Source organism: Homo sapiens, chromosome 20 (assembly GCF_000001405.40).
Source record: "Homo sapiens chromosome 20, GRCh38.p14 Primary Assembly".
Lineage (NCBI taxonomy): Eukaryota > Metazoa > Chordata > Mammalia > Primates > Hominidae > Homo > Homo sapiens.
This window is the reverse complement of record NC_000020.11, coordinates 37,623,994-37,638,251: the sequence shown is the minus strand read 5'-3', so window position 1 is coordinate 37,638,251 and position 14,258 is coordinate 37,623,994. Positions and strand designations below refer to the sequence as shown.

Genomic DNA, 14,258 nt, shown 5'->3' with positions numbered 1-14,258 from the left:
CACCAGAGCTAAGGGAGCCTCGAGGCCATGGAGAATGGGCTGGGCACGGTGGCTCATGCCTGTAGTCCCAGCACCTTGCGAGGCCAAGGCGGGTGGATCACTTGAGCCTAGGAGTTGGAGACCAACCTGGGCAACACGCTGAAACCCAGCTCTACTAAAAACATAAAAATTAGCCAGGCATAGTGTTACGTGCCTGTAGTCCCAGTTACTTGGGAGGCTGAGGTGGGAGAATCACCTGAGCCTAGGAGGTAGAGGTTGCAGTGAGCTGTGATTGCATCACTGCACGCCAGCCTGAGTGATAGAGGCCCCATTTCAAAATAAAATAAAAAAATAAGGACTGGGGGCTGGACACGGTGGCTCACGCCTGTAATCCCAGCACTTTGGGAGGCCGAGACGGGCAGATCACGAGGTCAGGAGATCGAGACCATCCTGGCTGACACGGCGAAACCCCGTCTCTACTAAAAATACAAAAAATTAGCCGGGCGTGGTGATGGGCGCCTGTAGTCCCAGCTACTCGAGAGGCTGAGGCAGGAGAATAGCGTGAACTCGGGAGGCGGAGCTTGCAGTGAGCCAAGATCGCACCACTGCACTCCAGCCTGGGCAACAGAGTGACACTCTGTCTCAAAAAAATAATAAAATAAAATAAAATAAAATAAAATAAAATAAAAATAAGGATTGGGAATTAAGGAAAGCTGCATGGAGAACCCAGCACCAAGGAGCAACCTGAGTTAGTCCCTGAAAGAAGTAGTGTGGTTTCCAAAGACTGAGCTGGGGAGAGCGTGTTCCAGGCAGAGGCAGGGCGTGTGGGCAAAAGTCTAGAGGTGGACAGGGCCAGCAAGTCTGGTGGCCCAAGCTGGAGGCATGCGAGTTGAGGCTTGGAGGGGCGGACTGTGCTGTTCCTGCCCCTCACTGCCTCTGCAGCCCCCAGTCACCTTCCCTGGCAGCCCACCCATCCCCCATCCACCAGAGCAACGAGTGGAAAATGAATGAGTCTGTTTATGAAGCCCATAATGTTGCCAGCAACACAAGGCACTCAGCGGAGCCGCTCGGCGCCTCTAATGGGATATTATTTATGTCATTTTCCTCCTGGCGCTGGAGCCATTACCACCCGGAATGGTGCTCCGTCACCCTCCACTCCCCCAGTGATGTGCCAATGTCATGCTGAAGGATGAGCGCTGCAGTTGTCATGGGCAGCACCTCACTGCCAGCCTCTGGACCTGAGCTTCGGAGAAGTGGCAGGGCAGGGGGGTGACGGGCAGCCCCCTACACCCTGCCAATATGAGGCCACTGGGCGCACGCCCGCCAGTGGGATCTAGCTTCTCTTGGGTTGCCGTTGGTGCCAGCCACCCTGCCAGGTGCTGAGAATCCTCCCATGGCTCCTCATTACCCTGCAGACAGAGCCCCATATTTCCATCTGTCAATAAGCCCTCTGGACTTTGGCCCCTGCCCACCTTCCCAGCCTTAGCTTGGCCTCTTGCGTGTAAGTTCTGTAATCAGACAGGCCTGGTCTCGTGTATCGTCCCAGATTGACTCGATCCACCTGTCCCCTCTTGCTCAATGAAGAGCCCGGCTGCTGTCTTTGGCTCTTCTTCTAGTCCAGCTGCCTCAGTTTCCCCCGGGTGAGGACTAGCCTTCTGCAGACACCCCATCAAGCCTGTCAAGCTGCAGCAGCTGACCCCCTGGGTCCAACTCGATCTGAGGGAGGCTCTTTCCACCACTTTCACATTCAGATAAAGCACCATGCTTAGGGCAGGGGATCAGGCTTCCCTAGTGGCTTCCTGGAGGGGCTGAGTAACAGCACTCCTTGCAGCAAATCAGGAACATTGACAACCATGAACCAGGAAGGAGCCGCAGACAAATGGACTATTCCAAAAATGGGAGGTTCCACATGGCTTGCGTATCTGCCACTCCAAGTGACCCAGCACCCAGTTGCATTGGCTCAAAAAGGTATGTTTCTACGGCCAGCTCAGAAACATAGCTCTTTGTGTTTGCTTCCTATTCTTCTCTATCTGCCACCCTGTCCCCCTTATTCTTGCTGCCTAAGAATTGCACCTGCCATAAAATATGTACACTTTGCTCCAGACTTTGTGTTTTAGGAAACCCAGGCTAAGCCATCTGGTTCAATCCCAACTTCATCACTTATTTGCTGAAAGATCTGAGACCAGTTAATGAACCTCTCTGAGCCTCAGTGTCCTCAGCTATAAAATGGAGGTGATCATCATCCTCACCTCACAAGGTTGTTGGAAGTACTCACTAAAATCAGGAATGCTTCCATTTCCTCCACTTCGACACAACTTCCCTTGCATCAAACACTGGCATGTACTATTTTCTTGGTCAAGAACACTCTCAATAACAATAACCTTGTTCATCCTCATGTTTACCTTACACACCTCCTTCTGGGGAACAGTCCCTCTCCCCAGGATGGGTCAGGGCACCTCTGCTAGACCCCACAATGCCCTCTGCTTCTGCCTTGATTTCACTGAACATTGTACTGTATTTACTCATGTATCTGCCTCTGTCGTTAGACTGAAAACTCCATGAGGGCAGGGCTGTGTGTTTTGCTCACTGTTATACCCCTTGTACTTAGCACAATGCCTGGAATATAGTATGCAAGCAAATGAATGAATGATCTTATTTAATTCTTGCCACAACTGTGTTGTAGGGATTATCTCCATTTTGTTTTCTGATTCATCAATTTCTGCTTTTGTCTTTTAAAATTCCTTCTCTCCGTTTTCTTTTAATTTACTTTGTTATATTTCTAGTATTTACTTTGTTATATTTCTAGTATCTTGAACTGAAATTTTAATTAATTTATATTTAATCACTCCTGCTTTCTCATAAGTGCATCAAAGGCTATAAATTTCCCTCTGAATACTACTATGCCTGCATGCCATCAGTTTGGAAATGACATACTCTCATTGCCTTTCACTTCTAAATGGCTAGTATTTTACCTCCTACAAATATTATTTCCTACAAATAAGGAGACTGAGAGTCAAAGGGGTGAAGTGACTTGCACAAGGTCATAGAGTGAGAAAGGAGCAGCACTGGGATTTGAGATCCCATGCACCCTTTACCCAGGTTCTCTGACTGGTAACGTCTTGCAAAACTATAGTACAGTATCACAACCAGGTTATTGACTGACTGCTGTAGTCAGTCTGGGCTGCTATAATAAAGTACCATAGACTAGGTAGCTTCAGCCACATTAATTTCTCGTAGTTCTGGAGGCTGGACGTCTGAGAATAGTGTGTCAGCGTGGCCGGGTTCTGGTGAGAGCCCTCTTCTGGGTTACAGACTGCTGATTTCCCATTGTGTCCTCATGTGATGGAAACAGCCAGCTAGCTTGGGCCAACCTGTGTCTTCGTCTCACAATTCATTAGTTTTGGAGTCCAGGTCAAGACATTTTCCTTCTCTGAGCCTCCATTTCCTCACTCATAAATTGTGCATTATTGCAAAATAATGAGAACTCAAACAGTAATGAGTGTGAAAATGCCTGGTGCCCAGTAAAGTTGCTCCAGCTACTGTTTCCCCTTCTGCAAAACCAGGAGGCAACACCAGAAGATCTCTTAGTGGAGGGTAAGGTCCAACCCTCAGCTCCCATGAGATCTGCTGAGGCTGACGGGTGGTTCAGGTGTTCTCAAGCCCTCTCAGGCAGGCTCCCAGCCTCATCCAAACTTGTGCCAGCAACGTGCAGAAAGAGGGGGTCAGCTCAGGGGTTGAAAGGTGCGCCACAGGAAAGTTTTGGAGATGCTGACCATCAGTTACCCAAGCACAGGGCTGTGTGCACAGCCTGTCTCTGCCCTGCGATTCCTCCCTCACTGACTGTGGCATCCTGGTGAGCTCGGCCAACAACCTCCCACGGAGGAAGAGCTTGGCCAGGGGATTCAGGCAGCTTGGGCTTTAATATGAGCCCTGCCCCCTGGAGCTGGCAGAACTTTGGGCCTTGTTTTCTGCATCTGTGAAATGGAGGTAATGAGTTGCAACTCACGGGGTCCAACATAAAGGTCAGAGAGAAGGAATATGAGAAATGTGGTACGTAGCAGGTATCTACAATCCCAGGTGGATCCTAGGGGCACTGTCTGCCTGTTCCCACACACACTTAGGGGAGGTACTTTGGAGAAGCCAATCACGGAAGAGGGTCCTGACTTCAGGAAACTCACACGACTGGGGAGGTGGCAAGGCTGGAGGGGAAACCCTTTGGGCTTGGACGCAATAGTCTTGGGTTCAAACCCTACGTGATCTTAGGAGAGTTGCTTAACTTCTCTAAACTTCAGTTTCCTCATCCATACAATGGAACCTAACATTCCTCTAAGACAGAGCTTCCAGTAAGATAATAGGGTTGAAGGTGCTGCATAAACTATAAAGTCCTGTTTATAAGATGTTGATCTCGTTGGCCAGGTATGCCAGAGCATCATTGAAAACAGAGCAGGTCCCCTTGAAGTGCTAAGATAAAAAGGCGGGAGGATGTTGACTGAACCCCCTCAGGGTACCAGGCTCCTTCTGGAGGTTTCACTTAGAATTTTTCCCCCTATGAGTGGCAGGGCTTGATACAGAGTAGGGACTCAGGGGTTATTCTCATCTCAGCCTTTTCCATGTTTTACATAAAGGAGCCTGCCCAGAAAGGTGAAGTGACTTGCCCAAGGTCACACCATTGGGTGGTAGAGGAGCTGGGATTTTCACCCATCAGGATAGGTGAATGGCTGGGGGATTTGAGGGTCAGAGATATTTCAGGAGGGACCAGGGACATAGGCCCTGAGTTTTCGTCCCCCTGCTCTTCCCTGGAACCCTCTTGGAGACCAGGGGTGGGCAAGACAGGCGGCCTCTGCCCATCAGCAGGGAGTGTGGGTCTGAGTGCCATGGTCAGCACCCAGTTCCCCCCTTGACATTCTGTATAAGCTTCAGCATCTCCCACCTGAAATATCAGCCCCCTTTTAGCTACCCTTTCCGCTTCCTGTCCCCACATCCAAGCCACCTCAGACAGACATGTTAAATCCCAGTGGGCCATGCCCCACCCCTGCTCGAAATCCTTCAGTGGCTCCCACACCTCTGGGACAGGGTTCAAATTCCTCCCTCCAGCATTTAAGTATCCCCTGATCTCACCCCCCTCCCTCCCCATCTCCTCTCCTTCCTCATCTCCTACCCTAGACCCACACACACACACACACACACACACACACACACACACAAGGATCCTGCAGCTCCTCCCACACCTTGTGCCTTTGCTTCTGCCATTTCCTCCACCAAGAACGCTGGAGCTCCAGGATGCCCAGCTCCTGTGCTGCTGCTTCTGAGACTGTGTCCTTGACCTTCCACAGCAGGATCACTTGCTCCTTTCCTGCGGACCCTCGGCACGTGGTTTCTTTCTCCATTAGAGCACTTGCTTACTTGCTTTCATTCTGGGCTGTGTTGTAGTAGTGATCGCAGTTCCGTGGCCATCGTCCATGGAGCTCCCCTGGTCGCCTGCGCTGTGCTAAAGCACATTTGAATGCAGGGTCTCCTTGCTCCTTGCAACCCCTTTGACCATCCCCACTTGACAGATTGAGAAACAGAGGCTTAGAGGTATAGAAATCTCTCCCAGGGTCACACACCAAGTAAACTCAGGCATCCTGACTCTGATCAGTAATCGTAATTCCACGATTGCACCACTTCACTGCAGATCCCCCCACTTCAAAGGGGAGGCTGTGCGGTTCATTTAGATTCCACCAGCACTTAACCCCATGCCCAGAACAGGTAGCTTCATTTATTCACCTCAATGTGTTTTGAATGAAATATTAGATAATAAGAGTGGATGAGTGGATAACCACATTCTGTACTTTATTGAGCACCTACTACGTGCTGGGCACTGTTTTAGGTGCTAGGAATAGAGCAGTAAACAAAACAGGTACAAATCTCTGCCCTCAGAGAGCCTAGTGTGGAGAATCAGTCTGCTGGAGAGAAACAGACAACAACAAAAAAGTAAGTAAATCAATTTTCAAGCATGTCAGAAGGTGACAAGAGCTCTGGAGAGAAATAGAGTGGGGATGGAAATGAGGGCAGGAATGTGAGCCTCAGGTGGAGTCCACAGTAGAGGGCGAAGGTCCTATTTTGGGGTCCTCAGGTGCAGTTCACAGTAGAGGGTGAAGGTCCTATTCTGGGGTCCACCGGGGAAGGTGATTGAAGAGGAGGCGCTCTCCAGCCAGCGGGTGAAAGGACAGAGTCGCAGAGTGGCTGGGTGGAGGGTGGGTGAGGCCAAGGTGAAGTCCCACTCCCTCCTCCCCTACTCTCCCTTACCCTCACTCTCCTTACCTCCCTGCCTGGTGTCTAACAGGCTCAGAAAAAATGGCCCAGGGGAGGAACCATCCAACCTCCCTGCCTCGGCACTAAAAGTAGCAGCGTGATGGGAAATGGTGGCGCCGCGGAATTACCGCTTTCTCATTGGCCTTGTTTATGGTCCTCACTGTCTTCACTCCTGCCCGCCAGCCCACGGCTGGGAGGGAGGGAGAGGGGGCTGCTGGCTGCCTGCCTGGCACATGAGGACCTTGGGGACAGCATCCCCGAGAAGTGGGGTGGGCTCTGGGACCTGGATCACTGGTTTTCATCTGGCAGCCCCAGTGCTAAGATCACCTCCTCTAGGAAGTTTCAAATATCCCAGATTTACTCAAGGGGAGTGGGTGTAGGAGAGGGGACTAACCTTTACTGAGACCTCTGTGCCAGGCATTTCATGCATCTAATTTCTTTCAATGCTCACAATCATCCTATTGCTCCACTTTAAAAATAAGGAAACTGAGGCTCAGAGAGGTTAATTAATGGACCCAAGGTCACGCAGCAAGTTAAAGAGATCAAGATCTGAACTCTGGTTAGTGTGATTCAAAGATCTTCACTTTTCCCTCCAGACCTCTGAGCTCCAAGGTCACTTTTTATCTCTCTTACATCTGTTAGCAAAGTCCAGCGCAAATCATCAGTAGCTGCAGGCAGGGTAGAGTAGTGGTTAATAGCTTGGGCTGTAAGACCAACCAAGCCTTAAGTCATACTTGTGGTTGTGCCTCATCATAGGTCTGAGACCTCACGCAAGTCTGTTTCCCTTTCTGGGCCCCAGTTTTCCCGGCTGAAAGGTGGACTAATAATAACCTTCTTGTTGATAAGGGTGGATGAGATTCCAGGCAAGAATGTCTTTGGAGAAGGCCCTGTTTAAAGACAGTGTAGTTGTGGCATAATCAAAATCCAGGAGAGGGTTAAGAAGAAAGAAGCTTTTATTGTTCCAGCAGCAGCAATGTCTTTGCAGCAAACTTCACCTGTTTACAGTCCATTAGAAGCCATTATTGCTGTGTCTGGGGCAGATGCACACCCCTGACCTTGACGCGTGTCTGACAGCTCCAGGCAGCAATCTACGGAGCAGGAGTCATTTTGGCAGCATTTAAAGGGCCACAAGGGGCTGAGGGCCTCTTCCAGAGCCCTTCTCCCTCCCAACTCCTGGGCCACGGCTTCTGCCAGCCAGAAGACTGAGGAAGGTGCTCAGCCTCGATTCCAGGTGCTCAGATATCCCCCAGCTCTCTTGGGGGTCTCCAGAACACCACCTTGAGTTTGCAACCTTAATAGGTTAACTGTGGTGAGGAAAAAACACATAGACAGCTAGGGCTGCAGGGACCTCAGAGGAGATGAATCCAATCTGGCCCTTGCATCCAGAGAAATGAAGGAACATGCCCAAGGTCAGAACAAGACAGCCAGAATAAGAATGGAGCTCCTAGGACACCCAGCCTAGGCTTTGGGACATTAATGATGGGAATTTCAGGCAATGAACAGTGGCTGTTGGCAGTAGGGTTGAGCAGAGAGAGAGTAGAGCTGGGCACTTAGTTCATGTTGCATAGGCAGCTGCTACCTCTGGCTTCAAAAAAGGCAGAGGCTGGACATGGCTGGCTCCAAGCCAAGCTTCTTCCCGCCAGCTCCAAGGTCTGTGAGAGACAGGGAGAGAGGCCCTGACAGAGGGAGGAGCGGTGGCTGCAAGATTCAAAATCAGCAAGTTTGTCTCAAAGCCCTTGTCTCCCCAACTCTTATTTTGGGCCATTTTATGGCTTTTCTCCAAAGCATTCAGTGCCCCTCAGGCTTTTTTCTTCATTCCCCTTCAACAAACTACTTGCAGGGAAAAAAAACTAAAATGTCATTTATACTCAAGGGTAAATGACCGACAACAGCTCTAAGGCAATACTCCCTGCCTTAGAGATGCTCTCTCACATTTTTTAGCAGGACTTCCAAAAGCAAGCAAGAAGAGAGCCACACATCTCTCCTTCCTATCCTAATTATCTCCCTTCTTTCACCAGTGAACTCTTACCCTTCATACCTTCACTCAAAAGTCTCCTCCTATGGGAAGCCCTCCTAAGTGCCCCAAGCTGAACTGAGTCCCTCTGCTATACACGCGCACAGAACTGAGTTCCTTCTCTTCAGAAACCTTTGTCTTTGAAGACAGATCATTTGATGAATATCTTCACCCTTACTAGACTATGAGCTCCCTAAAGATGCCATTTTTTTGCTCTCCAGTATCTCCAGGGCCTACTAAAGTCTCTGGAACAGAGTAGATGTTCAATGAAGATCTTTTGAATGAATACATGAATTATTGCATGAGTGAAAATGGAGATATCTATAAAGTCTGGGCTCTGCCTCCATTCCATGCAAAACAACCTCTCAGCCTCCTTAAAGCAGTAACTCTCTCAGGACTAGTAGATTCTGTTGACACCGCATTCAAACCCCCTCCCACTGGCAGGCACACCTGTCCCCCTGTTGCTGTAGGCTTCAATGCCCCCTCAATGGCTGCTCCCTTCTTTGTAGCATCAATCTCGGCTGATGAGGGTCACCTCTTCTGGGAGGTTACACCCTTGTTCACCCACCCTGCATCAGCCCATAGCCAGCTATGGCTGACAAGGGGGTACAGAAGGCAACTCCCTTGTTTCTAGGTAGGGACAACTCTGTGGTGTAACTTATGCTCCAAACCCCCCTTGGATTAGGCCAAGGACAGACTTTACCCTAAACAACATCCTTATTTGTCCCCTTCCCTCTCCTGCTTCCCTCTCTCCTTTCCTTGAGAGCACTTTCTCAATAAACCCTGTGCACAGAATTCCTCTGAGGCTCTGCTTCTAGGACCCTGACCTGAGATAGGGACTTCCCAAGTCTTCCATGGGCTCTAGATTAACAACTTTTCTCTACTGGGAAATTAATATTTATTAAGCTCCTACTGTGTCCCAGGGTACACAATGGATACTTTACATTTATCATTTAATGATGACATAGGTATTATTATTATCTCCAGGCTACAGAAGAAGAAACTGAGGGCCAGAGAGAATCCTACAACTTACTGAAGGTCATAGAGCTGAAAAATAATGGAACAGGGATTTGAACCCAATTCTAGCGAGTGAGGGAATGATGGCAACCTGTCACTGTAATACAGGGTGACTATAATTGTAACAGCACAGAAGAAAGTGAAATTGACATTGTCAGGAGTGGGGAAGATGGTAAGGAAGACTCTTCAAAGGAGAAACAATTTGAGCCTTGAATCTTGAAGAATGAATGCCTTTCAGGCAGAAAAAGGAGAGGAAGGTCCTGCAAGACAGAAGGAACAGCATGTGCAAATGCAAGGAGGCAGAAATAAGCATTTATTTCAGGTGCTTTTGGTAAAGATTGTGAGTAACATTGAGGGATACACTGAAACCAGATCCTTAAAGATTTTGATGCTATGGTAAGGAAACTGGACTTTGTCCTACAGGACATTGAATGCCTACAGGATGTTGGGTTTTAAGCAGAAGAGTGGCATGATATATTTCCATTTAGGAAAATTATTCTGATGAGCAGGATGAAAGATGAACTGGAGAAAAAGGCTGGAGCCCAGGTGGCTATTTAGGGGAAGGGGGTGAGGTTGTATTTTAACGCTATAGGGCTAAAAAAAAAAAAAGTAGGTGAATTGTGAATTTAAGAGAGAGTGGTTTAGGAGATAAAAATAGCAGGTGTGAGATGCTGGACTTGGGAGATGAGGGGGAAGGAGGAGTCTTGGATAATGCCCAGGTGTTTGCCTTGAGTGGTGTCACTTGCCATAGAGAGCAAAAAGGGCTTGCTTGGATATTCTAACCTAGACTAATTTTGGACATGCAGAATCTGAGGTTTTCTCCAGGGGATGCTCTTCAGGAGGCAGTAGATAAATGGTCCAGCTTTCCTGGGGCTCAGGAAGAGGTGGGAGTTGAGGTCCTGAATCAAAAACTCTGATTGGCTCTTTGTGACATCATAGAAATGGGGAGTAGTGTAGTAAAAGAAGCCTTTGACCATAAAAATATGGAAGGTAACTTGTCCAAACCAGTTTTTCATGTTGAACTTGCTGTCCCAGGTGAGCTTGCTAGAATTGAATTCTTTCAAACTAAGCTCTTTGGACTTTTAAAAAAATTATTTAGCATCATGAGCTTCATGTTGCCAGGCCCCATCAACCCTGTATCCACACCCCCACCACACACACATTGCCTTTCCAAAAAAAGAAAGAAAGGGGGAAAAAAAAAAAGGTGGAATGGATGATTTGGGAGCTGAAAACCTCCAAATGGGGAGGTTATATTCTCGAGACAGCAGCATCAATCACCACATTTTCATTATTAAGTAACATCGCGGTATGCTGGGCTGATTCTGCACCTTATCTGAACCTAGCAGCTGTGCCCTAAATTCCAGCCGTGGCGCCTGTCTGCAGGAATTCAGTTGCCTGTGTTTAAAATGAGTGTTAACATCTATCATTTCCCCACACCAAATGGTTTTGTGTCGGTGGTTGGCAGTGCTAATCTGTCACCAGGGTACTCCACTGCCCGGCTCGATACCCTCTTCTTCACTGTTGTGGGGAGAGGGACGGGAGGCCCCCAGGATAGGGGAAATGTCACTGTGAGGACAATTGCAACATTTGGGACTCTTTTACAGAAAAGGCAGGGGGGAGAGGGAAAGCCATCTGTGTCTGTTGCAGATTCTGACTTCCTATCCCACTGATTTTGGGCACTCAGTGGTCTTGCCTCGTTCATTCTTTGGGTCAGTGTAATAGTTGATGGGACTTTTCTGCAGAAGACGTCAGAGCGTGGCTCTGTCCGTGGTGCTGAATGGTATTGGCGCTGTCTGTGGTGCTTCTGCTCTAAGGGTGCAGAATCACAGCATGTGTGTGCTGAAGAGGACCTTAGACCATCTGGTCCGGTTATATCTCAGCCTCTTAGGCGAGTCATAAACCTTTTAGGATATAAACAATCTCATGGGTCTTTTACCAAGAAAAATATTTAAAACTCAAAATTTTGCTCATAAATACCAAAATTAGCCCTCTATTTCATGGGGTTCATGGACCCCTGGTTAAGAATCTCAGATATAACTTAATCTCCTTCTTTAACAGATGGAGAGTCTGAGCCTCAGGGAGGGGAGCTATTTGTCAAGATCTTGAGAGTGATAGGTGGAATTTGGGTTGGGGGAAGGGGTGAAGATATCAAAGGCAATGAGGTGTAGTTAAAAAATGAAGGAATTAAGAGCCAGGAAGACATGGGTTTGAATTAGCTCCACAACTTGCTTGGGGTAAGTTGATACACTCCAAAATTCAGTTTTTGACTGTGATAATAATATCTAGCTTGTAGGACTGCGATAAGGATTAGTGTTAATGGGAGTAGCATGCTATGGTGGGAACTGCAATGTACACCCAGATCCCCCTTCATAATAGAAGGGTTTATTCCACCATCTACTGGTAGCATCACTGGCAGGAAGCCATCAGCTGTCAGTCCCCTACAGGAGTTGCCTCAGCTGAAGAGAGTTGCTTGATTCAAGGTAACACCTCTTCCTGCGGTAGCCTGTATCCAACAACTGATTGATATGGCAATGTAAAGGCCCACTCCAACTCTGGACAACTCTGAAGTATCCCAGCTTCAGAACCATCTATAGGGATAGCTAAGGTCTCTATTGAGCTTGTATCACAACTCTACTTCTCCCTTTGCTCAGTCCCACTTCCTTCCCTCTCATCCGCAGGTATTGCGACTAACAGCATGCCATGATAAGCACCCCACATGCTAGTCTCCATCTCCAAGTCCACCTCCCAGGAAATCCAATCTGTGCTATATGACTAGAGCAGTTCCTGCTAGTTAGAAGGCTCTGGGGTGTCTTCCTGGTGTTCTTGCTTTACATTGATTTGAGTTTAGAAACCAGGACTTCTGACTCCCAATCAAGGGTTTTCCCAGGACAAAAAGCTATTCCTTCCAGTCTTTCCATGGCCCTAGTCTCTCCTCTTCATCTGCTGGCTTAGTCCCTCTCAGAAGGAGATGATACTTGGGCTGTCAGAAGTTTTTTAGTCCAATACTCTGCCTCTAGGTAGCAGAATACTTCAAACTAACAAGGCAGAAATTCATAGGCTACTTGACAAAGTGTCATTCAGGTAATCCTCCCCACCCCCGATTCCTGCTCCACCCTGGAGATGCCCCCTCCCCTTCAATATCCACTCAGTCCTCAAGAGATGCGTGTGCTGTAGCAGCAATACTGGACACGCAATACTTGCCGCTAGCAAACTCACATATTCAACATTCATTCAGTGGTTGGTGAGCAATACTGTATTGCTCATTGGTGAGCAAGGCTCTGTGTTCTGGGGAAATGGTATCTAGTCTTGTCTTAGGGGGCTCCAGGAATAGAAACTCTCACTCATTTAGTCAGCCACTCAACTAATACTTATGGACCCAGACCCTCTATTGTGCCCTGTGGAGATAATGGTAACCAAGAAAGATGTGATCTCTGCCCTAAAAAGATCACAGCCTGGCGCCTCCCATTCCGGTAGGTTTTCCCTAGTGTTTTATTCCCCCTCAGTTGTCAAGGAGATCTTCCTTCTACTAATCACAATCCCTCTGGCTTTGATTTAAATTCATCATATGGTTGTTTTCCCATTCAAGGTGGCTCTTATCTCACCTTTAAAATGGTTTCTACTTCTCTGGCCTTACATGTTTCTCAGCTTCTCCTTTTTTCAAACCAGAATCATTTTCTTAAGACAACTTTAGTTTGAATCAGGTGGACAGTAAAGAGGCCAAGGTCAGAAGGCCATTCACTCCATTGGTTCATTGGCATAACTTGGTGACCAGATGGTGCCTGCTCCTAATCTTTTCCATCTTCCAGGCCCAAACCTAGAGGGTGGGTGAGACTTCCCAGCTCTGGTTAGAAGCATCATTTTACTTTATGAGGTCCTGCTTTGCTTCATACCCCTCTGCAAAAAGTAATTGTACTTCCTATGTAAAGATAGGAAAACAGAAGCACAGAGCTGGGAAACGACTTGACCAAGGTCATACTACTCACCTGCAGTTGCAATTCTGCCACTTAAATAAAAGTGACAGATTGACACATACAAACATGCAGACAGGAAGAGCGAGTGGCAGATAAGAGAGGCAAAGACAGGGATAGAAAGAAATATTGGTAGGGGACAGAATGAAAGAGAGAGAGAGGAAATGAAAGAGAGAGAGAAAAAATTCAACCTAAATGATGACTTCTTTGCTTTCCTGAGGCATTTATCTTTCATTTGACCTTAGAAGAGTCTATTTGTGTAGAGATTTTAAATTGAGAATTTTTTTCTTTTTAAAAAACATCCCTGTGCAGTTAGCACAGTTTTATATTACTTTCTATTCATGCCAGTGGCTTCAGTATTTATTCTCCTCCAAAATCACTGAATTGGAAGGGACAGAGTGAAAGTCATTTGGCTTTTTGTGTTTGTTTGGATTCAGAGCCTGAGGCCCAAGGGGAAGGGTGGGGGCTGGGTCAGTGCATCGGGCTGAAAACTGGGGAGATGGGGGATGCCCAACAGTGTTGTGAAGCATCTGACTTCTGTCCAAACCATACTGCATCCTGGGTTGTCAGCTCTGAAGTCCTTGGGGGTGGGGAGGGAGGCTGGACAGGCCAGAGCCATGAATCTTCTGGCTCCCCAGAGCCATGAATTAGCCATTCAGCATCCTGGAGTTGGTGCCCAAACTGGATCTTGAAGTTTATGGCAAATTGAAAGTCACTGTGGCCAGGAGGTCTAGTTTGGGTCTGGGCATCTATGTGATTGCCTGGGTATGTGTCCCAACTTCACCACTTACTGGTTTCACGGCCTTAGACCAGTCCCTTTACCTCTCTGGGCCTCGGTTGTTCTCATCTGCAAAATGGGATTGGTAAGAATCATCATCTCCTAGGGCTGGTATGAAGATTAAGGAAGTCATTGCTCATGAAGAGGTTGGCACAGTGCCTGGCACTCAAGAAAATATCTGTGAGTTGAATGAATATAGTTCATGCAC

The 14,258-nt window shown here is 47.9% G+C and overlaps 1 annotated feature.

Annotated features, from left to right (window-relative positions):
* Positions 10,971 to 11,070: an enhancer, noted in NCBI's record as "active region_17849". NCBI's record gives its function as "activates an Ori minimal core promoter by ATAC-STARR-seq in GM12878 lymphoblastoid cells {active_cell/tissue: GM12878}" and the evidence as "EXISTENCE:reporter gene assay evidence [ECO:0000049][PMID:35858748]".